The 27,469-nt window shown below is 43.0% G+C and overlaps 1 protein-coding gene across 5 annotated transcripts in view, besides 4 other annotated features; it reads left to right on the plus strand.

The window, feature by feature from the left end:
* The window catches only part of CCNY (cyclin Y), a 325,643-nt gene that overhangs the window by 203,953 nt on the left and 94,221 nt on the right, over window positions 1-27,469 (plus strand). The gene's annotated exons all lie outside the window — the stretch shown is intronic.
* Window positions 482-611: a silencer, noted in NCBI's record as "silent region_2307". NCBI's record gives its function as "represses an Ori minimal core promoter by ATAC-STARR-seq in GM12878 lymphoblastoid cells {active_cell/tissue: GM12878}" and the evidence as "EXISTENCE:reporter gene assay evidence [ECO:0000049][PMID:35858748]".
* Window positions 11,193-11,737: an enhancer, noted in NCBI's record as "NANOG-H3K27ac-H3K4me1 hESC enhancer chr10:35751098-35751642 (GRCh37/hg19 assembly coordinates)". NCBI's record gives its function as "activates a minimal SCP1, AML or CMV promoter by ChIP-STARR-seq in primed H9 embryonic stem cells {active_cell/tissue: H9 hESC(primed)}" and the evidence as "EXISTENCE:reporter gene assay evidence [ECO:0000049][PMID:30033119]".
* Window positions 11,738-12,280: an enhancer, noted in NCBI's record as "NANOG-H3K27ac-H3K4me1 hESC enhancer chr10:35751643-35752185 (GRCh37/hg19 assembly coordinates)". NCBI's record gives its function as "activates a minimal SCP1, AML or CMV promoter by ChIP-STARR-seq in primed H9 embryonic stem cells {active_cell/tissue: H9 hESC(primed)}" and the evidence as "EXISTENCE:reporter gene assay evidence [ECO:0000049][PMID:30033119]".
* Window positions 12,705-13,205: an enhancer, noted in NCBI's record as "H3K4me1 hESC enhancer chr10:35752610-35753110 (GRCh37/hg19 assembly coordinates)". NCBI's record gives its function as "activates a minimal SCP1, AML or CMV promoter by ChIP-STARR-seq in primed H9 embryonic stem cells {active_cell/tissue: H9 hESC(primed)}" and the evidence as "EXISTENCE:reporter gene assay evidence [ECO:0000049][PMID:30033119]".

The following is a 27,469-nucleotide window of genomic DNA, read 5'->3' on the forward strand; positions in this document are numbered from 1 at the left end:
TGGTTTATGAAGCATGTTTTTTGTGCCCATGATCTCAAATTTCTTTGGTTTTTAAAACTTTATCTATTTATTGTACCTTTAAAACAAATACATTTTATACCTAATGCAAATTAGTATTTTTTGAAGAGTGTTAGGCAGAATAAATGTGTATTTCCCATCAGAGAAGGAACTACTGATAAGTACTTCAAGAAGACCCAGAATTAGCATGTGTGTTTATATAAATTGTGAAATCATCTTCTCCCACTTCTTCCCCCTTTTTTACAAAAACAAGTTAAGAGTCAGAGAAGGAAAGAAGAAATGGGATTTGCACCGTCATGGACTGATACTGCCTGGGTGTAGTTGTTTTGCTTGGTGAGCAGAACTTGCTGTATTATCTGTAGCTTTCTTCATGTATACTTGGGCACTTGTAAATGTTACCAAGTGCCTCTGACCAGAATGGGTGGGTCATTTTCCATGTCGTCTTAAAATGACTGGAAAGTTGGTGATGAACAGAAGGCTTATTTTGATATCTGAGTATGGCCTGAAGGCTATGCTGAGTGAGTGAAACCCAGAGCACTTCTGAGCAGGTTTTGGTTGGTTTGGTTCCTCTTTTGTTGGTGCTTTTGTGAGGGCCAATTCTGTATGGCACTAGACAGAGCTGGTTAGGCTCAACAATACAGTGTTACCAGGCGGGTTGAGAATGGACACCCACAAGCCCAGGAGCCTCCTGAGGCCAGTCCCCCATAGTGCCTGGGCCACACGGGGCTGGGCCTGTTAACCAGGGCAGGCTCGGGGTTCATGTCTTTTACCCTCTACAACAGTGCAGCCCAGCAGGTCATTACCACCTCACCTCCACGCATGGCAGGGGCAGGGGGAGCGGTCAGGGCATGCCTGTCCTGCTGCTGTCACCCAGGCGAGCCACACATTCCACACTGGCTTGAATGGCAGTGACTTTGGGCCTGGCAGTGTCCTCTGCCAGTCTCCTTCACTCACAATTTCATTTCAACTTTGTGTTATAGTGAAGTATTTAATATGACACTTTTTTTTTATTCTTTAATAGTTCAAATAGTAATGTATGCCAAGGTCAGACTAATATTTTGTTTACTAGCTTAGTAATTTTCTTCTTGTTCCTACCTGAATTAATTTATATGGGAGCAAGTGCTGCCTTTTTTGCTGTTGAGTACCAGAGAACATACAGTAAATAATGATTTTTACATATTGAAGTTGCAGTTGTTGACTGTGATGTTGAAGATGTCTTCAGACAGTAGTTTATACTGCATTCCACACTTGAGGCTCAAGTGATTGGAGTGATTTCTGCAATTACTAGTTTGTTCTATAACTAAGACTGTTTGTTGGTCTCTGCATATACTTTCAGGTCATTAAATGCTACAGAAATGAGAAATGAAATACAAACTTTTTAACTCCTACTCAGATGTCCAAACAGCTTCTTAGTTCCTGTCAGATCAGTAATAATACTGGGTTTGGTCTTTCTTAAACCAAGCATAATCCTGCTTATCTTAGAATGAAACAGTATTCCTATTCAGAGGTAAATAGAGTTAACCTTTACTCGTGTAATTTTTATTGTTTGTTTTACCATTTCATGGTGTTCATACTAGCCCCTTTTCCTTTCCCTCTAAGTGACTGCTGAGGTTCTCACCATTTCAGAATAAAATTCTTGTCCTTTGAGGTTGGAAATTTAATGATAATTGAAAAACTGTATGTGTCAGTATACTTAAAAGGAAAGGTTATATCATTCTCTTCATTTTGGATGTAAAATTTACCTGTTAGAGAAAATTTGGAAATTATAGAAAAGTAAAAAAAAAAAAAAAAAAAAATGGAAAAAAGCTATTGTGCTTGTCTCCTACAAAGAGAACTACTGTGGACCTTTTATGTCTCATTTCTTCTGTTTTTTAAAAGCTGGGTTTGTCTAAAACCACTGTCACCAAAACAATAAAACCCATACCCTCCAAATTTGTATGACATATAATTGTGGTGACATTGTCTAGAACATTTTAAAAAAAATATTATTTATTTTTAGAGATGGATCTTGCTGTGTTGCCCAGGCTGGACTGCAGTGGCACAATCATCGTTCACTGTAACTTGGAACTCTTGGGCTCAAGCATTCCTCTTGTCTCAGCCACAGCGTCCAACTAATTTTTTCATAGAGATAGGGTCTTGCTTTGTTGCCTAGGCTGATCTCAAACTTCTGGGCTTAAGGAGTCTTCCCACCTTGGTCTCCCAAAGTGCTGGGATTACAGATGTGAGCCATTGTGGCTAGTCCTGTATATAAAATTTATATATTTTTCACTTAGCATGATAAACAGAAGTATTTCTCCAATTACAAATGTATTGAACTGTTTATAAAAACTATTGATTATTATTTTTGATCACTACATAATTTTTCATGTGGGAAATTTTCCGCTTATTCAGTCCTTTATTACTAGACATATAGGTTGTTGTTTTCTTTTTCCTTTATAATCAATATGGTAATGAACATCTTTGTGTCTAAAGCCTCCTCTGAACATCAGATCATCTCAGCAAGGTAGAATCCTAGCAGGCATTCTAATGACTCAAAAGTTTTGGGTGCAGTCTACAAAATTACTGTATGACAAGGTATTAATACATGATACTAATATTTGAGTTAGCAAAAGCTGCTTATTGGATATCTAAGTTGGGCAGCATTTGGTAGGCTTATTTTTTACTCCTTTAAATTACTTCTTTCAAGTGATTAGAAACTTTTAAGAATCTTAATCAGTAGGTGAAAGAAAATCTGGCTTTTTTAAGGCTCTTTGTATATTGAAATAGCTGGGCAATATTTCTAGTAACCATATTGATGTTTTACTGCTATATACATGATTTGCCAATTTTTAAACTAAGACCTATAGTAAAAAAAAAATTTATATTTGAATCCAGTTGGTTTCTTATTGGTAAACACACATGAAACAATATTTGTCTTTATGCATTTCATAATGTTATATTCTGAACTTTCTGTTTCATTCCATTTTTTAAAAAAGATGAGTCATGATCCTCTAAATGGATTTCATAATCTCCTGGAGGTTCCAACTCATAGTTTGAAAAACACTATACTGTACTGTGACAGGCGGCGAATCCAGAGGAACACATGGCTTATTTCCCTGACTGCTTTTACTTTTCCTGTGTGTGGGTGGGAATCTTGTACTCGTTCATCCTGGCAGTACCTGAGTGAGAAATAAGGAAGCTAAGTACCCTGCCCAACGGCACGCAACTACCAGTGGTCAAGCTCGGACACAGTCACTTCTGGGTGGCCCCCAGGTCCAGGGTTTCACAGTCCAGCAGCATAGAAGCCGTTTCAGCTTCTGTTGTCCTGGAAGACGCAAAGGCATCCAGAAGAGAGGCACATGATCTGCAGGAAAGACTCCGCCGTAGCGGTTCAGCGCAGGTTTACCAAAGGTTGTTCACCTGGAATGGACTGTGAACCCCCCACCAGGAACTGTGGCACAGGCAGAAGTCAACCAGGGTGAAATGCAGCTTTGCACTCTGACATTTGCCCCTTGAAAACCTGGAGCCTGGTAGAGTTAGGGGTGGAAAGCAAGTTTTCCATCAGCAGAGGAGCATCTTCCATAGCTCCCAGAAGGATCAGTTAAAAGTGTCAGTCCGATGGCTTCCTTCGGGTTTTGTGAACCTCAGCGGCTTCGCCTGCCCTTTGCCTTTAACCAGCCAGTGGGGCCCTGCATGAGGTGCCCGGGGAGGTGGTGCATGCATAGCATCCTTAGTAAGCCTGGAGGCGGGTATGCTCTCTGGCAGCAGCTTTCTTCCTGGCTTTCTTGTGGAATTGTCCTCCTTACCAAGATGCTTCTGCCAGGGTAAGAGGAAGGCCAGTGAGTGCTTGGGAAGGAAGTTGGCAGTAACTTCCAACAAACCTTGCCCCACTGTAACTTCTCAGAAGGGTGATGTGACCAGCTGCAAATACCAAATGGAAAGAGATTTTGCCTAGAGAGTTTTCAGGAGGGCCTGATGAACCTGAAAACCTTCCCTGAATGCAGTGTACCTTCCATTCCATACAATAACCATTGAAGGGCTTCATCTTAATTAACTCACATGGACATTTCTAATTGTGGAAGAAAATACTGCCTCCCCTCACCAGGTGAAACCATCATTGAAATCAAAGCTAATAGCAGACAACACTCTGTTCCCAAAGAGCAGGTTCATTATATCATGCCAACAAGTAGCATTTCCTATTTTCAGCCTAGTCACATTGATTGACTGGAGCTTAAAAATAGAAAATAAGAGTATATTGTTGATCTTGGATTTCTTTGAATGCTGAAAAAAATGCTGCCTTTAAAATCAAATTTTACCAAACTTGGCAGATTACAGTAGGAAAACAACAGATAAATGTGGATTTTTCTACTCCTGTTCTCTAGCACAGGGAATCTACTAGAGGGCCCTGCCTCCACTTCCATCAAACAAGGGAAGAGAATGCTCTTCATGAGGTCACTGTTAACTGAGCCAGCATAGGGAGGCTCAGCAGGTGAGCTGGCTTGGTGGGAGGTGGTGGTTCTGAATCTCTGCTCTTTTGCAATGGCCTTGGGACCTGGGGCAAGTGACCCTCTCTGAGTTTTAGTTTCCTCAAGTGCACAGTGTGGCCTTGAGAGCCTCAGGATCTTCGACATGACCGAACATTCATAAGGCTCAGTGCTCACTGTCTCCTCTTCCCTTCCTCTCCCCTTTTCTCTCTGGGTCTTGAGAGAACATGAACCAGGACCACAGTGCCACGCCCATGGCTCTTGGCATATTTTATTGAACATTATTTATGTGGTTAACAGATCAGAAAATCTTAGTGATCCTCTGATGGCTCCAAGGGATGCTTCCTTTTTTTTTTTTTTTTTTTTTAAAAAAAGAAAAAGACAGGGTCTCACTCTGTTGCCCAAACTGGAGGGTAATGGCACAATCATAGCTCACTGAAGCCCCAAAATCCTGGGCTCAAGCAGTCCTCCCACCTTAGCATCCCAAAGTGTTGGGATTACAGGCATGAGCCACCATGCCCAGCTTTATTTTTCTTTTATAGTGATGATGACTTAAAATAGTCAACTTTAGGTACCTTGCTGCAGTATCACAGCCCAGTATTTTTCTGCTCATGTTTTTCCCCATGTCTTAATGGCTCAGGTTTTGCAGGAGAGTGACAATTGTATGTACTGGTGTGTGTGTAATTGCACTCACACATGTGTTCAAGGTTGTAAAGTTGTGTTCACCATTCACCAGTGTTATGGAGAGATACTTCCTGTCTTCTTGCTCCCATTGCATCTCTGTGTCTGTCTCCCTCAGTATAGCTGAGACCAGAGCTGGATGTGGCAGCCATGTGCTTCTTGAGCACTCACATGGAACAAAAAAGAAAGAGAATGGAGCTTCTGTTGTGCTGGGCTAATTGCCTTATTATTGATTCAGCTGTATAAGTGAAATGGATTGTTTAAACATTTTTGGTTTTGTGATTGTTTTAATTCAGGTTTTATTAAGCTGGGCAGCAGATCATTGATTGCACAGGATTCGGAGGCACATTCATTTGTATCTTCCAGGGTAGCTTTTCTGAATGCAAATCTTGTCCATCTGGTTGCCTATTATCCATCCTTCCAAAGCTCGACAGACTTGATTAAATTCAGAACCGCTCTGCCTTGATAGTGGCATCTCAAATTTTATCATTAGTTATGCATCACATTTCCTTGTGTCTGAGGTGACCCTCAGAGGCTATGATATTGCCTTTCTACTTTCTCAAGAACCAGAATGTTTGAAGGGCAGTTTAAAGTTATAGAATGAAGTAGGAAATACATTTTAGATTTTTTTTCCCTTAAAATATATATCAGGTCTGAAAGGAAAATACTGTAGGTGATTATCTTACTTGCAGATATGCCTGTGAACTTGGCCGTCAGGAATCAGAGACGTGGCCTAGAACACCATTCACGGATCAAAAAAATAAAGAGTCTGTGGGATATCCATGGCTATAAAAAGAGGTTGAATTGTTCTGCTTTCTCTGTCACATGTTAATATTATGCCATGTGATTCAAGTAGTGAACCAGCTCTTTATTCTCCTCTGAAAATGCGGGGGGGAAACTACCTTAGTATTCACATTTTGGTTTAGCCATCCAATCAAAGTTTTGTTACAGATTGGTTCCACTGTATTTGTCCTGAATTACATGTTCTTTTTCATGTTTGATGTATAACCTTTAAAAATCTTACTTAGTTTCTTCATGTGCTTTCTCCTTTTCATTCTGTTTGAGCTAATTTCTGATTATGTAGCCGTGATTTCAGTGTTGATTCTTTTCAATCTAAATCTCCCTCTTTAGTGAGGATGGCACCCTCATTAAAGTCTCCGCAGATGACTGCCTTGCTTCAGTCCCGTCGCAGCCTGGTGCTGCCTTTCTTACTTGTGGTCATATTGTCCACAGGTCTCTCTCGTGTGTACACCTGCCCGTCCTTTCTTGCTGGATGGGCAGAACTCAGCCCAGGGAGGCCTTGCCCCTCCGTGTTTCCTGTGTCTGGACAGAAGATGCACCTTACTTGAAATCAGTTGCAATGGTACCATAAAACAGATTTATATGTTTAATCTCCATGTTGGATCCTGCACAGTTACTCTACTGTAACCCAAATTCATAGATGTATTTTTTTTTTTTTGAGATGGAGTCTCACTCTGTCGCCCAAGCTGGAGTGCAGTGGCACAGTCTCGGCTCAATGCAAGCTTCACCTCCCAGGTTCACACCATTCTCCTGCCTCAGCTCCCCGAGTAGCTGGGACTACAGGCGCCTGCCACCACACCCGGCTAATTTTTTTTTGTATTTTTAGTAGAACCAGGGTTTCACCGTGTTAGCCAGGATGGTCTTGATCTGACCTCGTGATCCACCCGCCTCGGCCTCTCAAAGTGCTGGGATTACAGGCGTGAGCCACCATGCCCAGCCCATACTTGTATTTTTAAATTCTCTTATAGGGAAATCATGAATGCAGAAATATGAGTTGGATTCTTTCTGAATTTTTTTCCTTCTGTTGTTTTAACTATTCCTCTTTTTGGTTTCTCTTCTCCCTTGTTTTTTGAGTTGGGGAAGATGTGGAACAGGACATGTTATGTACGTGTTCTTTGTTTAAAAGAAAATTGGAAGCAGTACCTTCCTCCCTGAAAGGGGGAAAAAGTGGTGTTTTGTGTTTTCCTACAAGCTGTTTCTGCATACTTGTGCTTGACTGCTGTAGAGGAACTGGGCTTTGGGGGTATGTCAGTGTCCCAAGGACCCCACCCATTGCACCTCAGAGTTGCTGATCCCTAAGGCAGCATAGCTGTAACGTGTTGATGTGATGACTTGGCCCTTTCCCTCTTCCAAGGGTGGAGAGAATCTCAGCTTTCTCCCTGCATCCACAGTTTGTTGGAATTCTCTTTTTTCAGTTTACTTGTTCCAGCCCATACAGAGTTTGTAAAGATTCTGAACTGAGGATATTGTTTATAGAAGAGGAATTTTAATAAGAAATGTTATTCAGTAATTCCTCATTCAATAAATATTTATTGAGAATCTGGTTGCGGGGTTAGGGTGGCACCTTAGTATTCCCATTCTGGGTTAGCTTCTGACCAGCGTTTTCTCTTAGGCACTGAGGATTTTGCAGTGAACAAAGGAGACGGTCCCTTTCCTCAGAAATTACATTCCAGTGTGGGAGGAGGGAAGAGACAGATGACAAGCAAAATAAGTACTGTAATCTTACCTTCCGCATCTGTAGCCTCAGCTGTGTAGAATGCCAGGGACATGTGAGGGTGTGAGCCAAGCCCGTCCTGAATTGTGTGCACTGAAACTCTTAACCACTGCTCCCACGCCTGCCCATGCGTTTTTATCACAGGTCTTTCCCCTTTCAGGGAACCAAGGCTCTTTGTTTCCCAAGGTGGATCCTTCAGGCTCCTCTTTGCATTCACTTCTAAAGAACGAGAGAGTGTCCTTTCTCAGCCCTTAGTTGATTCAGAGCAGAAAATGGAAGGGAGAGTGAGGGGCAGATAGGGAGGCAGGGGACAGAAAGACCAAACCTGAGAAGCAGAAGCTACTTCTATCAGCTGAGGACCTCAAGGCTGAGCCACAGAGAAGAGAACAAATTCTGCTTAGCATGTGGAGGGAAGCCCACGTCATATTTTGTAAAAAAGCTTATTTTAACTGATGATTAAAATGAAGCTTTAGTTCAGAAGAGGGTAAAAATAGATGGAAATCTGTTCAGATGGGATTTCTTAGTTGAATCTGGAGTGATGCAGATACACCGTGAGAGGCAGAGCTGAGAGTCAAGAGGCTCCCGGGCCAGCGCTGCTGTCTGAGAGGCCACAGAATCTCTTCCAAAGGTGTAGATAGACCAAGCTTGTCCAGCCTGCAGCCTGCAGGCCGCATGTGGCCCAGGAGTGCAGCCCAACACAAATTTGTAAACTTTCTTGAAACATTATGACCTTTTTTTGCATTTTGTGTTTTGTTTTTTGCTCATCAACTATTGTTAGTGTTACTGTATTTTATGTGTGGCCCAAGACAATTCTTTTTCTTCCATTGTGGCCCAGGGAAACCAAAAGATTGGACATCCCTTGTGTAGACTAATGAAGTGACGCTTCTTCCCAGGCATGATGACACTGTTTTGACAGGGCTGCACCCTGTTTTGACAAGGTGGGACCCTGTCTTATAGGGGTATAAACAAAGGAAGTAATGTGGTAGGGGATGCAGAGTTTTCTCAGAACTCCTCCTAGGTTAGTAGTAGCGGGTTCCACCTCCTCCACCAGCTCAGCCCCTGTAGAGCATACTCTCATTGCACCATCATGACTTGCCTGGAGGTTGAGGAATGGGCAGATAATTATTATACCTGTTACTTAATCAGATGTGCACTGGATGAGCACCTGCTTGGGGCTCTCCTTGTGTTGGGTACTTGGGGGGAATACATACTTGGAGGGAGTACTTTATACCAGGACTAACAAGTACAGCTAACTGATCTTCCAGTCCCTTGCTAATTAAAAGGAAGGGAAAAAAAGGATTACTGGCTGAGGTAGATATAAATGCAGCCTAAAACAACATCTGATAGCCTGGAAATCAGATACAAAAGCTGTGAAGACCTCCATTGCATGCTAGTGGAATAGCAGGGGATGTTAACAGCATCTCTTCCTTGGTGAGGTAGCATGGTGTCATGGGAAAGAATGGCCTTTGTTTCAGGTAGAGCTCCCTGATATCCCTGACCTAGTGTCTCCCTGCCGCTTGGCAGCTGTGTGAACTTAGTAATGTTCTTTAACATCTCTGAGCCTCTTTTAAAAAATCTCTCTCTCTCGTATATCTCTATTTAGTTATTGAGAATCAACTCACTGTAGGCATTGCATAAGAGAAACACAGTGGTGATGCCCCCTGGCCCTCAGGGTCCCACCTTGTTGAAACAGTGTCATCATACCTAGGAAGAAGCATCACTTCATTCATCTACACCATGGGTGTCCAATCTTTTGGCTTCCCTGGGCCACATTGGAAGAAGAAGAATTGTATATGTACACACACACACACACAGGATAATTATTAGAAGTTTCAAGGTTTTGTGGAAATTGGAATTTATGTAGGTGAAATGCCTGGATACAGTGCCTGGCACATAACATTCATTCAGTAAGCATCAAGCTACTGTTATTATAAATATGATTTGAACAAATGGAAGAGAAAAAAGAAAATACCTTTAGCAGGAGCTCAGAGGAAATAATCAGCATGAAATGTTCGTGGAACATATTTAATGTGTTATCTATTCTGTTGCATAAGGTTTTCTAAAGTGTCCTGAATGTGGCAGCACAGTACCTATGGCACGGCACAGTATCATAATACTCCTCACTCAGTTATTTCCTCCTTTCATTAGCCCAGGTTCTCTTGTTTTATTTGTTACTCAGTCATTTATAGAGCATGGATGATAAGTGATGCTCCATGCCAAGCACTGTACTGTGTCTAAGATGAACAGGATACAGTATTTGTAATCAAAGGAACTTGTATGTGGAGGTTGGGCTAGGACATCCACTTATTATAAACTGAGGGAGGGATGTGAAGAGTGGGGAGCAGTGGGCAGGGGTGGGAGGGGCTGATGATCCACCCAGCTGGCCTGAAATAGGAGACGATGGCATGGACAGCTCCCAGGCCCACCACTGGGCTGGCTGAAGGTCTCCTGTTTATGGAAGCAAGTGGGGGATCTGAAGGATGACACTTTCCATATCCTGTGCCTGAGGTTTGGTTGTGTTAAAGAGAAAATTATTCCATGAGTCTTGTTAAAGCACAGTAAGGCAAACTTGACTAAGGACCATCTCGATAGGTAGAGGGACTGCAGCAATGGGGTTTTGTGATGGGGGAAAGAGATTAGGTTCAAGTCTAAATATAGCATGGGCAAGTGGGAATTTATGGCCAAGGAGCAAGGGATGTGGTTAGTGAATGGAAAATTACTAAGAGGAAACATCAGGAGTAAGGAGAATTCTGGCTAAATCAGTCTGACAGGATTCTTGCTGAAGGCAGACAGGGAGGATCACCTGAGGGTGATCAAGGACAAGGAGCTTGATTAGATGTCGAGGGTCAGGGGTTCTTGCTAATCTGACTTAGCAGGGTGCTTTGCTAAAAGTGGAGTTTATAAGGAAGTGCACAGTTGGGCCCAGGAGAAGGTTCAGAAACCCGACCAAAGCTTGGCCAAGCAAAGACTCTTTCTTTAGAGTCATCCCCCAGCATCTTGGGGATCTTTTTCAGAATACTTGGGACCACTTGATGAAAATTTGAACCCAAGGTCTCTTTTGCTGCCCTTTTTCTAGTGTTCATGGCTTCTATGTGTATTATTCATGGCAAAGTATGGGCCCTTGGTCTACTGAATGATTTTGTGTTTGAAAGTGGAAATGTCTGATTTGTTATTGAGGTATCTCAGTGTTAGCATCTTCATTTGTCCCTGATGTTATTGAGTCCAGCCTGCATACGTAAATGCATAAATAAATCTCTCTGTGGATTTTCTGTTTTTTTTTCTCCCGGCACATCCCACTCTTTGCACCTCTCCTTACACTCAATATAGTTATATTCCAGGCTCCTCTAATCTCCAGGCATTTGCTTCAATGGTGGCCACACTCTAAGGCACTCAATTCAGTACTGGAGTTTGATCCTAACTCTAGAAAATCAAGTCTTTACATGTCAGCCATAAACCTCTGGAAGTGGATTAAATAGGAATTTTGATGATTAAATGTGAATATTACCACAATATAATAAAATTGATGTTTTTCACTAAAGTAACATTGTGACACCTTTGCATCCACAGAAACAGTGTTTCTTCAAAGCAGCCATGTTAGGTGGAGCTCGTTTTGATGCCTCTTTAGGAATGGCGGTAGTCCTGGCTCACCAGTGGCAGAAGGACCCCGTCTTGCCACTGGATAGTGTATCCGCTCCCTTTCTCCTGTATTTTGCTCCTTGAGATTTCCTGCACTTAGCATCTCTGCATCTTCACCCTCATCTCACCCTTCTGGTATTGCTTTGCCATTATGATCTGAGAAGATCCTCTTCTGAAAATCAGGAAACCATGGTGAACTAGCTAGACAGTGAGACCATGCTGAGGCTGGAACCAAGAGCCTTACTCTGAACCTAACAGGAAGCGATTGAACTTTCAGAAACACAGAGGGCAAGGACCTCTCTGCCAGGACCTGTCTTATTTGCTTATTTGCACTCACTGCTGCTGCAGCTGCTCTCTGTGACAGCTTCTCAGAGTGTGCGGGTGGAGGGGTCATTCCAGAGCAGAGGGGCTGGTGCTGGATTGGAAAGCTGCCCACCACTCCAGGTCAGAAACACTAGCCGTCCCTCTACCCACAGCCTGCACAAGTTGTGTCCCAGATCTCAGTGTGGGTGGTGCCCCTGTCAGGAGGGCTCTTTCCATTGAGCGCCTCTGCAGGGTGCACTGCTGTGCTGTGAGGAAGGCAGAGCAGAGGACAATGGGATCTTGGCATTCCCAGCATTGTATTGTGTATCAGCTACGTTAGGCCTTAGTTAGAGATATTTGGGGAAATGGTTGCAGCGGCACTTTTGGAAAGTATAAACTGCTGGTAAATGGAGGTTCTGTACACTGAAAGTGAAGGTGTGTCTCCTTGACACTGCCTTTTGGCAGATGGAGGTTCCTGATCTTCATGGCTTCTAAGGAAGTGACTTCTTTCACTAGAGGGATTCAAGCTAGGGTTCTGCATTCAGATGTGCTAGATGTGGAACCATAGTTGTGCTATGTGCTAGGAGTCTGACTTTGTATGATTTACCTTATCTGGTTCTCCTTATTCATCTAAAAAATAGGATTAGTAATGTCTGTTTTAGAGAGTGTCTGTGAGGATTAAATAAACATGTCTGGCACATGGTAGATGCTTACTAAACATTAGTTTCTTCCTGTGTTCTTGGTTACCCACAGAGTTAACGTTCAGAAAGCATCTGTTACCTCAGTAACAATGGACGTAGAATATGCTAACTCAGGTGATCCAGAGTATATGCATATATGTATATAAGTTACTGAATCTGACAGAAGGAAGAGTCAAGGATGTTTTGGTGACTGAACTCTAAAGCAGCATAAGCTCGTGGAAGGTAATAAATAGTGAAACTCTGGAAGCACCAAGTTTAAAAGGAAAAAGAGTCAATGAAGCTAAGAGATTACAATTTGATAACAAATGACATCATATACCAACACTTTAGGAAACAACTGTCAGGCAGAACTTTAAAAAAAGATTTATGGAAATTGTTTTAAAACTCATTATTAAATTTGGCAGCACATCCTCAACTTGGAGAGAAAGGAAGAGGCAAAGAAATCAAAGGCTCTGACAGTAATTTATGGATGTAGGCAAATGATAAATACTTCCAGAGCTTGAAATTTACACCATCATTTGCTTGAAAGTAACCACTTGTTAACTGGATTTGGGAAGTAAGTTTATGACATTGACCTACTTCCTGATCATCAGCAAAGAAGCTGCATTATGGAAGGTCCTGCCTGGCCAGCATTAAAGCTTCAGAGTAACAGTGGGCAGAGAAGGTGCAGGAAGCTGCTGCCTCTAGAGCTGGAGATGGTAACAGGCTATCTTTATCTTACTGAGCCTGGAGGAAAAGGTTCTAGGAAATGGGAAAGAGGAGCGGTGTCAGGCATTTGGCACAGCTGTCAGTGGATGGGGCTTAATTGGATTGATGGGCTGTGGTTATCCCACAGATAGGTTAAACCCAGCAGCATATCCACCGCCGAACTGGGTCTTCCAGCTCCCTCCTCTGTGCCTTAGCCCAGTGCATGGCCCCATTGTCAACCACTGCTTGTCACTCTCATCTGCCTCCTTGTCCTCATGTTCCAGCTTTCATTACTTACCAGGTGCATCCCGTCTCCTCCAGATCTTCAAATCCATCTACTTTTTCCAACCCCTTTCCCACGTGGATGATGACCACAGCTCCCAACTGACAACTTTTACTCCTTGGGCTCATTTTTTTCACCAGCGTGCGGTCATAATGGTGTTTTTAAAGTGTGTATTTGGTCTGGTCACTCCACTCCTTCAGTAACTCCCTGGTTCTCTGGGGATAAAAATCCAGACTCCTTCACCAATTTTTTCTCACTGCTTCCCCCTTCTTATGGTGCGTCTCAAATGCCCAGTATGCTTTTTTTTTTTTTTAAATTAACCCTTGTGTCTTTGGTGTACTTTGCTTCTTATGCCCTTCGCCTGCTCCCTTGTTAGCCTGGGTAACTAACCCATTCTTCCTGGAGGCACTTACCTGGGGCAAAAGCCTCTGACTTGTCTGCCTCATGCCCCACCCCCAGCCTTTAACCCTGGGGGCCACAGGGCCTCACCATCGTGTTTCTCTTAAGGAACACCTACATCGAGTTGATTCTCCATAAATATTTGTTGAGTGTTTAATGGAGTAATGATAGTGGACTCAAATGCCTTTTTTCTAGCTTTCAGGGTGTTGTCATTTCATATGCTTTTCAGCTGTCTGCAACAGCAGATTTCATAAATATTGCCCCATAGTTAAAAGACCTAGTCATTTGCTGGGTATTAAAATATCAGCAATCCAAGTGGTATTTTTCCCGTTCCATTGATAGTGCTAATTCATGCCTCTCAGGAGAGGCTGGTTGCTAGGAGATTCTTTCTTTGAGTTCATTTGCATTTGAGTTAATGGTTGGTCCTTGCCAGTTTTTCCTTTTCTTTCCTTAAGTTGTTGAGAAGAGGTATTTCATTTGATCATTCTTTTATGTTCCTTTCATTATTCAGCTTATTTGTTAATGACTGTTGAACATTTGGACTTTATGCATGGTAGGGCGAGTACTGTTCGTGTCCTAATGTGGTACTGATTTCACTGACCGATGGCCCCTCCCCGCCCCGCCCCTGCCTTTGTGCTGGGGTCCGAGCACCGATAGTTTTAACCAGCATTGTTGCTCTGATCGTCCTAGGACCCAGTGAGGTCGTCACGTATATTTCTCTGATACATGATTTTTCTCTTCTCCTTTCTCTGAATTTAAACTTGTCACTTCACCTTCACATTTTCTTTTAATGAATATCCTTCTAAACATAAACACCAGCAGTCAAATTTGAACTGTTGAGATGTCATCAGTGGTTTGTCCCTCTGTCCTCAGGAAAAGTACAACTTCTTGTTCTGGCACCCAGGGCTTTCCAAGGTGGCCTGAATCCACCTTGCATGCTTTCCTTACCCACAGCTTTTCTTCTTCAACTGTCTTGCCTTGCGTGTCTACTGGCAGTTCCCTAATAAGCTTTTCTCTGTCCGTTATGTGCTTTGGCCTGTCCTCTTCCTTCTAGCTGAGATGCACCTCCTCTGAGCAGTCCTCCAAATAAAAATCCAGCTCTGCGTGAGGCCCGTCGAAATCTCACCTGCTCTGTGCAGTCATCTCTCCACCAGTTAGACTTGGAGCACTGCCTATCATTGCTGTATGTGTGATCCTTACTGCATTCTGCCTTGCTTCAGGATTATCAGCAGGGTAGGGGGAAGAGAGAGAGAGAGAGAGAGAGAGAGAGAGAGAGTGTGTGTGTGTGTGTGTGTGTCTGTGTGTGTGTGTGTGTGTCTGTGTTTGCTGTGGAAAGAAGCTCCTTGAGAGCGAGGACTGGATCTGAAATACCTCTCTGCAGTCCATTCAGTTCCATTCCTTAGTGGCATATAGAAGACATTTTAACTAATTTACCGGCTCATTTCTGTAGTCAGCACACATTTTGGGGGTATGGGGGGCACACATTCAAACCAGTGGTTATAGGGATATAAGAAGTACACAGGCATGTACCAGGCTTGGTGGGAGTGGGAGAGAGGCACGGAAGTGAGCCTAGGAGGGTCAGGAAGGCTTCCAGGGCTTAGGAGTTTGCCTGACACTTGAGGTGAGAGCCAGTGGCTTCCCCTAGAGAGGATATTCAGGGCAGAGGGGCTGGCCTGGTCAAGCCTGGGAAAAACTGAAAGAAGATTGTGTGGTGGCAAAGTTGCTGGAGCAGAAAGTGTGCGGTGAAGAGATACGGGAAACAAGGCCAGACTGGAGGAGCAGGCCAGCTCTGTAGGGGTGATGATCAGGTATGGCAGCTAGCGAGAGCTTGCCAGTCCCAGTGTTGTGAATTGGAGAGAGTTCTCAGGTGTGTCCGCCTGTGCCTGTGCTTCTATCAAGCCTCACACAGAAGGGAACAGGCACTAGCATTTATCCTGTTGCTCCCGCTGTCCCTCACCCTCACCTGGACTTTCCGTAACCCTCTTTATGGTTTTCCTTACCTGGCCTCTGGTGAATGTGGCAGTGAGCAGTAGAGTGCTCAAAAGGGAGCAGTGTTAGGGTGAAGCAAGGTTCCTGGCAAAGCCGCAACTAAATTTTAAGGTTTGGTTTTGTGGTGTTTTTTAAATAGAGACAGGGTCTCGCTCTGTCACCCAGGCTGGAATGTGGTGGCACAGCCACAGCCCACTGCAGCCTTGAACTCATGGGGTCAAGCGATCCTCCTGCCCCAGCCTCCCTAGTAGTTGGGACTAGACGCCTGCACCAGCATGCCCAGCTAATTGAATTTTAAATCTTAAAATGAAAGTAGGTTGTAAAATGAACTGTGACCAGACAGTGATAATCTTTAAACTTTCCAAAAGGATTGATAATTCTGTGAGCAGGGGCCATACCTGTTGTGTTTACTGCTGTGTGCCCAGCTCAGCATGCACCCCATGGCTTGACACAGGGCAGGGTATGTTTAGGTGTGAATAATTGTATGTACAGATGAGTATATACGTGAGTAGAATGTATTTCTATACATTATAGATGTATTTTGGCTTTTTATAATCTATATAAGGTCTTTACACATCTTTTGTTAAATTTAATGATGTTTTGTTTGTATTGCTTAGTAAATGGATTATTTTTTATTGTCATTATTAGTATGCTAATTGTTTATTGCTCTGGGCCATAGTGTTCTCAGTGAATACCCTGTTGGCCTTGGGAGGTACAGTTTCTCATTGTGTGGGACACTGGTGTGGAAAAATAGCAGCCACTTGACATGTGACAACTCCACACATTGCTGAATACCCCCTAGGGTGAAGAGGATGACATTGCTCCTTTAGTTGAGCACTATTGCTGGGATAAAGGAATGAAATTGATTTCTATATGTCAGTTTGTGTCTAGCACCAATAGATTTTTAAACCATCTTATATTTTCTGTGTAGAGGATTATATGCAAATAACAATAATTTTGTTTCTTTCCATTTCAATAAATTCCTTGTATGTTACGTTTACTTGTTGTTTTGCATTGACTAGGGCCCCCAATACAATGTTGATAGTAGGTGGATCCCAGTTTCATTCCTGACTTGAGAAATGTGTCTGATGTTTCACCGTTAAGTATACAGATTGCTGTAAGTTTTTGGCAGATAGCCTTTATCAGATTAAGATTTGCTGAGAGTTTTTATCCTAGGTGGTTATGGAATGTAGAGCCCCTGTTAGTTGGACTTAGTTCATTCTATACAATGCCTAACTCTGTTCTCTGTGCTCCATTCTAAGTGATTTCCTCAGATCTGTTTTTCAGGTCACCAGTTCTACATTCAGGAATATCTAACCTGCAGTTTAACTCATCTATTGAATTGTAGATTTCATTGACCATGTTAGCCATTTGGGCTGCTATAACAAAATATTATAGACTGAGTAGCTTATAAGCCGTAGAAATGTATTCCTTACAGTTCAGGAAGCTGGTAGATTCAAGATCAAGGTGCTGGCAGATTTGGTATCTGGTGAAGGTCAGCTTCCCGGTTCATAGATGACCATCTTCTTTTTGGTGTAACCTCACATGGCAAAAGGGGCAAGGAAACTCTCTGGGGCCTCTTTCATAAGGGCGCTAATCGCATTCGTGAGGGCTCTGCCCTCATGACCCAATCACCTCCCAGAGGTGCCACCTCCAAATACTGTCACACTGGGAGCTAGGATTTAACGTATGAATTTTGGGGGGACACAAATATTCAGTCTGTAGTGATTGTGTTTGCATGCATGTATAGACGTGTGTGTATATGTGTGTGTCTCTATGTGAATCCTACAAACATGGTTCTTTTTTAAAACTCCCTTTTATTTTTTTCAGAGTATCTTTTCCCCCTTATTTTAAAATTTATTTTGTTTTTCACCACTGTGCACAAATTCATTCTATGGTCTTTAGTTAGTTTTATTATCTCAAGTTTTTGAGGGTCTGATCTTGATATTTTTGAGTTTCTTGACTCTTGCTCAAGAGTCATGAGACTATTTTTTCCTCCTGTGTGTTGCCATTTTAGATGGTGAGCCTGTCATCGGAGGACATAATCTGGTGGAATTCTGGGAGACAGCCTGCTTTAGAGTGGTTTATAATTTGGCCAATTTGGTGTGAATTTCTTTTCCAGGAGTTTTCTGGGCTACATGTATAAAGTAGAATGTCAAAAACCACATTAGAGATACAGACAGACTGACAGTTACCAGTTGCTGGGAGATTGGGCAGTTGCTCCCCCTGCCAGCCCAGCCTCCTTTTCATTTGGGTTCATAGATACTTTTTCTTAATTCAGGTTTTTGCTAAGATCATAGCTCTCTGAGGGTTCTAGCTATATGTAAAAGTGTCAGTTCCAACTCCTGTGTTATATCCTGTCCTGCAGGAACGTTAAAATAATAGTGTCTTCAAACCAAGATACTTCTGAGAGTAAAGGGGGTTAGAATTCTTTATTATGCCAGATCACTGGTGTGAACCCGCATGTGTGTCACCTTAGTCAAAACCCAAGACCAGCTCACACAACTGGATAGCCCCTGTCCTGCCACAGACTTCAGTTCTCTCTTTGATTCGGGCCTTAGGCCGTTGACCCTGCTTTCTTGCCACACTTATAGGCATTTAAAAGGCTGTATTATATTTTAACTCACATTACAAAGTGCATGTAGCATGAGAGCTTTTAGGTTATCTGGTCTGTGTATTGGCAGAATAATCTGTCTTTAGTCTTAACATTAGCATCTTTATCTCCTTGATTAATCTTAAGATAGAATATTAGATACATTAAGATAGAAAATTAGAAATAGGACAGCAGAGAGGAACTGGGGAGGGAAGAAGGGAAAACGGAAACAGTTATAGCTAGGAAAAGAGAAGGAGGAGAAGAGAGACTGAGAGATGGGTTGGAAAGAGGAAGATGGAGAGGCAGAACGGGAGATGGAGAGATGGACAGACAGGGAGATGGAGAGACAGACAGACAGGGCAGTGGAGAGACAGATAGACAGGGGGAGATGGAGAGTCAGACAGGGCAATGGAGAGTCAGACGGGAGATGGAGAGACAGGGAGAAGACAGGGAGATAGGGCACTGGAGAGACAGATAGGGAGATGGAGAGACAGGGAAATGGGGAGACAGGAAGATGGAGAGACAGACAGGGAGATAGGGCACTGGAGAGACAGATATGGAGATGGAGAGATAGGGAGATGGAGAGACAGGGCGATGGAGAGACAGACAGGAAGATGGAGAGACAGGGAGATAGATAGGGCAATGGAGAGACAGACAGGGAGGTGGAGAGACAGACAGGGAGATAGGGCAATGGAGAGACAGACAGGGAGATGGAGAGACAGACAGGGAGATAGGGCAGTGGAGAGACAGACAGGGAGATGGAGAGACAGACAGGGAGATAGGGCAGTGGAGAGACAGACAGGGAGATGGAGAGACAGATGAGATAGGGCAATGGAGAGACAGAGAGATGGAGAGACAGGGAGATGGAGAGAGAAAGATAGGGCGATGGGGAGACAAGGCAGTGGAGAGACAGACAGGGAGATGGAGAGACAGAGAGGGAAACAGAGATAGGGCAATGGAGAGACAGGGAGTTGGAGAGACAGACAGGGAGATGGAGAGACAGACAGGGCGATGGAAAGACGGACAGGCAGGTGGAGAGACCGACAGAGGGAAGGAGAGGCAAACGGGGAGATGCAGAGATGGACAGGGAGATGGAGGGACAGACAGACAAACAGAGCAGATGACTGAGGGCTGGATGTGTGTGCACAGAGAGCTGCACACAGAGACACATCCATTCAGTTAGCAACCCACTTGCGGAGAGACTGCCCTGGAGGCCCACACATGTAGACGTGTGGACACAGAGACACACACTTGCAAAGACATACACGGAGATCACCTGCAGGGGCACCAGTGGCTGAAAGAGAGTGAAAATAGGAAACAACTAAATATAAGTGTGTTATGATAGTCCAGAAAATAAACTTGAAGTCAGTGGGAGTAGAAAAGATGGCTTTAGGTGGGATTAACCAGAACTGCAGTAGCAGCACTTGGCTGCGGCAGCCACAGCAGGAGCTGTTGTTCTCGTGGGAATGCTGATGTGGGCTGCTGGGCTCAGGCTTCCCTGGTGACAGCCTCCTGGAGCAAACCAGCCTGGTCAGCTCCTGATTTCATCCTGTTGACACTAACAAATGGAGATAATCACTGATTGTGAGGCAGTGGCAGGGACAATAATAGCAACAAAAGAAACAATCTGATTTAAAATTAACAGGCTTTGTTGATTTCATAATTGCCTCCCACATCATAGCCAGATTTGGAAATGTGACTACCTAAAATTGAAATTAGGGGTTTGAGATTTTAACCATATCAAATATTGCTCAAAAGACAGGAAATAGAACTAGTGATGTCTTCGGAGGGTAACTGTGGGGCTGTACCACAGTTGGCCTCCCAGTTGAAACTCACTTTCTGTGCATCTTGAAGTTCCAGAACCTATCAAGGAATCACAGAACCCTTGATTCCTTTGGGCTCTGCTCACTGACACTGTCTAGACCTAAGTGGACAGCCCATCTTGTGGAGATGATTTATTGGAGTGATTATCAGTTTGGGGCGTGGCAGTGCAGAGAAAGGGGGATGCGAGGGGCTTGCGAGGGGGAGGGGATAGTTTGACTTTACAGGCTTGCTTTGGCGCCTCCTCTCCATCCAGTGCTGTTTAGGTCTTACTGTGCTTTTCTGCTTTACTTTTTACTAGTTTTTCAGACCATTAATGATAGCTTATGATGGCTGCTTTTCTTAGCCACTATCTTATTACCTGGATCCTTTATAACACTGGAAGGTAAACTTGGTGCTGGTTTAAAAGCCAAGATGAGCAATTGTGGATCACTGTTACTGTGACATCTGTGGAAAAGACTGAAGAAAATGAGGTTGACCAGTATAAGAGAATACTGCCGAATTAAACTGTGCCACATGCCGTTTGATTTATCTTTAGTTTTGAATAAAGGCATTGTATTTTACTTTGTGCTCAGCTGACACATGGACTGAAAGCAGTGTGACCGAACACTCAGTTGTCACCTCAGAGTCTGGCAGGAGGCCCTTAGAATAACCATTCTTTGAATATTTTAATTCAGCTGTGTGTCTTAATAGGTATCAACATCATAAACAAAAAATAGGCTAAGACTCTGCTTCCTAAATATTAGATTGAAGTCAGCTCAGGGGATTCCATGACATTCCTTAAAACTGCCTTTTCCTCTAAAGCATTACTTCCTCAGGTTAATTTATGGATTATCTTGCCATTCTTTTAGGAGGTAGGAGACTCTAAGTCAGGAGTATGCAACACCAAACTTTTAAACATCAATTTCAAGCCAGCACTCCTTAGAGAACAGAAATTGTGTAATGAAATTTAACAATCTTTAGTGTCTCTAAGCCTAACATTTATGTATTGAGAGTTTTGTTTCTTTAGCCCTGATCTAAGTGCTGTGGCTTAATGTTTTTAATACCCATTATTTCTGGGGACCCTATTGTGTGGTGGACATCCTGCCCATTGCGCTAGTACCTGACTCCTAATCGTCATAGCAGTTCTCGAAGCTAGGTGTTATTAGCCCACTTTGTAGATAAGGAAAATGAGATCAGAATAGTATCACAATTTGCCCAAGGCCATAGAGCTAGCAAAAGTGAATTCAAATCTGGATCTTTTACATTTTAAAATGTGTAATTCTTTTTCTACTGTTTGAGCATCTCTTTGGGGAATGAATGATTCCGAGAACTCCTGGAGAGTCTTATTTTCAGCTTTCTGAATGTGGGTTATAGAGTCAGTCTTGATGGGTTTTTCATTCTTTTTGTTTTCTCCTCTAGTACCTTATACCTTCAACTTAGAAGGATGCTCTTGTAGGGCTGGGACTTGATCTCTTTCGTTACTTCTGTATCCTCAGTACCTGTAACTCAGCATTACTTAGTACCTAGTAGATGCTCAGTGATTATTTGTTGAATGAATGGATGAATGAATGAATGAAAACCATGGCAGAATGGACTGGCCCTGACAACCTCTCAGTATATACTCGTGACATCTAATGAAATGCTAATTTATCCTATCACAGTATAATCGTGAAGGTAAATGTGATAGAAATGTCATAGGATGCATTTTGAAGTCAGCTAAATACATGTTTTGTCTCACCATTAATCGACTGTAGCCCTTTGAAAACCAAGAATGCTTTCTTATGACCATGAAATAGGTCATGTAGAATAGGAAAGTTAATGACACAAGTGGTTACTACCCCAAAGTAGTATTTCGATACGAATAGAATTGAACATAATACCTAGCATATAGTGGAGACTCAATGCATGTTGGTCCATTTAACTGAATTCAACGGAATTGCCTTGCTAGGAAAAAAAAAGCAATATTTATTTTTGACTCAAAAAATTATGAGTCCAGTGCTTTGTTTAAGCTATTCTCTTGTAAGCATGCTATTCTGTGTCTCCCAGGATTGGGTCACATATTTTATTCTTCATTGTTCCCTAGCTGGTTCTGCACTCTGATGTGTCATGTACTTCATCTTGACTCCCTGAATCAATTGTAATTTTGTGTAGGATAAACCAGGCCGTACATGTCTCTGTCCCTCCCGGAGGCCGGCCACATGCCCACCTGCCTCGTGGCAGAGCTCTCGGCTTCTGTGTGGTGTCGTCTTTTCTCAGGGATGGAAATGCTCTGGTGGGGCTTCACTCTTTCAGTAAGGCAGTAGTTTGTGTTACAATGACACCCAGTAGAGTAACTATTTAAATTTTATAAGTTCTTCTTCTTCTTGGTGAGTTAGCACATGAGGTATTTCAAGAGCTTGGTGGGAGCAGGTGGGAAGAGTCAGAGCTCTCTGCACGCTGCAAAGGCGGGTCTAAGGGAGGCCCAGCTGTGTGAAGTTCCAAGAGGGGCTTTGTGAGGGGTGAGGGATATGTGATTTTGGGGTGGATTGAGGGAGGATCATGTGAACAATTAGTGTTTAGATTATTACTTTAAAAATGAATAATAAACTGTTAGAGCTGACTTCAGCAAAGTGGTCAGCATACTTTAGCAGTGAAGTGTATTTTGTCTATAATCTCTAATTTTAAGCTCAGTATTCCATTAATTTATTACTTTTAATTTTTGTCATTGAAAAACATCATAAAAATGTGTTCCTTGGGGGGAGGAGCCAAGATGGCCGAATAGGAACAGCTCCTGTCTACAGCTCCCAGCCTGAGCGACGCAGAAGACGGGTGATTTCTGCATTTCCATCTGAGGTACCGGGTTCATCTCACTAGGGAGTGCCAGACAGTGAGCGCAGGTCAGTGGGTGCGCGCACCATGCGCGAGCCGAAGCAGGGCGAGGCATTGCCTCACTCGGGAAGCGCAAGGGGTCAGGGAGTTCCCTTTCCTAATCAAAGAAAGGGGTGACGGACGGCACCTGGAAAATCGGGTCATTCCCACCCGAATACTGCGCTTTTCCAACGGGCTTAAAAAACGGCGCACCACGAGATTATATCCCGCACCTGGCTTGGAGGGTCCTACCCCACGGAGTCTCGCTGACTGCTAGCACAGCAGTCTGAGATCAAACTGCAAGGCGGCAGCGAGGCTTGGGGGAGGGGTGCCCACCATTGCCCACGCTTGCTTAGGTAAACACAGCAGCCTGGAAGCTCGAACTGGGTGGAGCCCACCACAGCTCAAGGAGGCCTGCGTGCCTCTGTAGGCTCCACCTCTGGGGGCAGGGCACAGACAAACAAAAAGACAGCAGTAACCTCTGCAGACTTAAATGTCCCTGTCTGACAGCTTTGAAGAGAGCAGTGGTTCTCCCAGTACGCAGCTGGAGATCTGGGAACGGGCAGACTGCCTCCTCAAGTGGGTCCCTGACCCCTGACCCCCGAGCAGCCTAACTGGGAGGCACCCTCCAGCAGGGGCACACTGACACCTCACACTGCAGGGTACTCCAACAGACCTGCAGCTGAGGGTCCTGTCTGTTAGAAGGAAAACTAACAAACAGAAAAGACATCCACACCAAAAACCCATCTGTACATCACCATCATCAAAGACCAAAAGTAGATAAAACCACAAAGATGGGGAAAAAACAGAACAGAAAAACTGGAAACTCTAAAAATCAGAGCGCCTCTCCTCCTCCAAAGGAACGCAGCTCCTCACCAGCAACGGAACAAAGCTGGACGGAGAATGACTTTGACGAGCTGAGAGAAGAAGTCTTCAGACGATCAAAATACTCTGAGCTACGGGAGGACATTCAAACCAAAAGCAAAGAAGTTGAAAACTTTGAAAAAAATTTAGAAGAATGTATAACTAGAATAACCAATACAGAGAAGTGCTTAAAGGAGCTGATGGAGCTGAAAACCAAGGCTCGAGAACTACGTGAAGAATGCAGAAGCCTCAGGAGCTGATGCGATCAACTGGAAGAAAGGGTATCAGCAATGGAAGATGAAATGAAGCGAGAAGGAAAGTTTAGAGAAAAAAGAATAAAAAGAAAGGAGCAAAGCCTCCAAGAAATATGGGACTATGTGAAAAGACCAAATCTACATCTGATTGGTGTACCTGAAAGTGATGGGGAGAATGGAACCAAGTTGGAAAACACTCTGCAGGATATTATCCAGGAGAATTTCCCCAATCTAGCAAGGCAGGCCAACATTCAGATTCAGGAAATACAGAGAACGCCACAAAGATACTCCTCGAGAAGAGCAACTCCAAGACACATAATTTTCAAATTCACCGAAGTTGAAATGAAGGAAAAAATGTTAAGGGCAGCCAGAGAGAAAGGTCGGGTTACCCTCAAAGGGAAGCCCATCAGACTAACAGCGGATCTCTCGGCAGAAACCCTACAAGCCAGAAGAGAGTGGGGGCCAATATTCAGCATTCTTAAAGAAAAGAATTTTCAACCCAGAATTTCATATCCAGCCAAAGTAAGCTTCATAAGTGAAGGAGAAATAAAATCCTTTACAGACAAGCAAATGCTGAGAGATTTTGTCACCACCAGGCCTGCCCTAAAAGAGCTCCTGAAGGAAGCACTAAACATGGAAAGGAACAACTGGTACCAGCCGCTGCAAAATCATGCCAAAATGTAAAGACCATCGAGACTAGGAAGAAACTGCATCAACTAACGAGCAAAATAACCAGCTAACATCATAATGACAGGATCAAATTCACACATAACACTATTAACTTTAAATGTAAATGGACTAAATGCTCCAATTAAAAGACACAGACTGGCAAATTGGATAAAGAGTCAAGACCCATCAGTGTGCTGTATTCAGGAAACCCATCTCACGTGCAGAGACACACATAGGCTCAAAATAAAAGGATGGAGGAAGATCTGCCAAGCAAATGGAAAACAAAAAAAGGCAGGGGTTGCAATCCTAGTCTCTGATAAAACAGACTTTAAACCAACAAAGATCAAAGGAGACAAGGCCATTACATAATGGTAAAGGGATCAATTCAACAAGAAGAGCTAACTGTCCTAAATATATATGCACCCAATACAGGAGCACCTAGATTCATAAAGCAAGTCCTGAGTGACCTACAAAGAGACTTAGACTCCCACACATTAATAATGGGAGACTTTAACACCCACTGTCAACATTAGACAGATCAACGAGACAGAAAGTCAATAAGGATACCCAGGAATTGAACTCGGCTCTGCACCAAGCAGACCTAATAGACATCTACAGAACTCTCCACCCCAAATCAACAGAACATACATTTTTTTTCAGCACCACACCACACCTATTCCAAAATTGACCACATAGTTGGAAGTAAAGCTCTCCTCAGCAAATGTAAAAGAACAGAAATTATAACAAAGTATCTCTCAGACCACAGTGCAATCAAACTAGAACTCAGGATTAAGAATCTCACTCAGAACTGTTCAACTACATGGAAACTGAACAACCTGCTCCTGAATGACTACTGGGTACATAACGAAATGAAGGCAGAAATAAAGATGTTCTTTGAAACCAACGAGAACAAAGACACAACATACCAGAATCTCTGGGACGCATTCAAAGCAGTGTGTAGAGGGAAATTTATAGCACTAAATGCCCACAAGAGAAAGCAGGAAAGATCCAAAATTGACACCCTAACATCACAATTAAAAGAACTAGAAAAGCAAGAGCAAACACATTCAAAAGCTAGCAGAAGGCAAGAAATAACTAAAATCAGAGCAGAACTGAAGGAAATAGAGACACAAAAAACCCTTCAAAAAAATCAATGAATCCAGGAGCAGGTTTTCTGAAAGGATCAACAAAATTGATAGACCACTAGCAAGACTAATAAAGAAGAAAAGAGAGAAGAATCAAATAGATGCAATAAAAAATGATAAAGGGGATATCACCACCAATCCCACAGAAATACAAACTACCATCAGAGAATACTACAAACACCTCTATGCAAATAAACTAGAAAATCTAGAAGAAATGGATAAATTCCTGGACACATAGACTCTCCCAAGACTAAACCAGGAAGAAGTTGAATCTCTGAATAGACCAATAACAGGATCTGAAATTGTGGCAATAATCAATAGCTTACCAACCAAAAAGAGTCCAGGACCAGATGGATTCACAGCCAAATTCTACCAGAGGTACAAAGAGGAACTGGTACCTTTCCTTCTGAAACGATTCCAATCAATAGAAAAAGAGGGAATCCTCCCTAACTCATTTTATGAGGCCAGCATCATTCTGATACCAAAGCCGGGCAGAGACACAACCAAAAAAGAGAATTTTAGACCAATATCCTTGATGAACATTGATGCAAAAATCCTCAATAAAATACTGGCAAACTGAATCCAGCAGCACATCAAAAAGCTTATCCACCATGATCAAGTGGGCTTCATCCCTGGGATGCAAGGCTGGTTCAATATACGCAAATCAATAAATGTAATCCAGCATATAAACAGAGCCAAAGACAAAAACCACGTGATTATCTCAATAGATGCAAAGAAGGCCTTTGACAAAATTCAACAACCCTTCATGCTAAAAACTCTCAATAAATTAGGTATTGATGGGACATATTTCAAAATAATAAGAGCTATCTATGACAAACCCACAGCCAATATCATACTGAATGGGCAAAAACTGGAAGCATTCCCTTTGAAAACTGGCACAAGACAGGGATGCCCTCTCTCGCCACTCCTATTCAACATAGTGTTGGAAGTTCTGGCCAGGTCAGTTAGGCAGGAGAAGGAAATAAAGGGTATTCAATTAGGAAAAGAGGAAGTCAAATTGTCCCTGTTTGCAGATGACATGATTGTATATCTAGAAAACCCCATTGTCTCAGCCCAAAATCTCCTTAAGCTGATAAGCAACTTCAGCAAAGTCTCAGGATACAAAATCAATGTGCAAAAATCACAAGCATTCCTATACACCAACAACAGACAAACAGAGAGCCAAATCATGAGTGAACTCCCATTCACAATTGCTTCAAAGAGAATAAAATACCTAGGAATCCAACTTACAAGGGATGTGAAGGACCTCTTCAAGGAGAACTACAAACTGCTGCTCAAGGAAATAAAAGAGGATACAAACAAATGGAAGAACATTCCATGCTCATGGGTAGGAAGAATCAATATCGTGAAAATGGCCATACTGCCCAAGGTAATTTACAGATTCAATGCCATCCCCATCAAGCTACCAATGCCTTTCTTCACAGAATTGGAAAAAACTACTTTAAAGTTCATATGGAACCAAAAAAGAGCGCGCATCACCAAGTCAATCCTAAGCCAAAAGAACAAAGCTGGAGGCATCACACTACCTGACTTCAAACTATACTACAAGGCTACAGTAACCAAAACAGCATGGTACTGGTACCAAAACAGAGATATAG

Source organism: Homo sapiens, chromosome 10, assembly GCF_000001405.40.
Source record: "Homo sapiens chromosome 10, GRCh38.p14 Primary Assembly".
In the NCBI taxonomy this organism is placed as follows: Eukaryota; Metazoa; Chordata; class Mammalia; order Primates; family Hominidae; genus Homo; species Homo sapiens.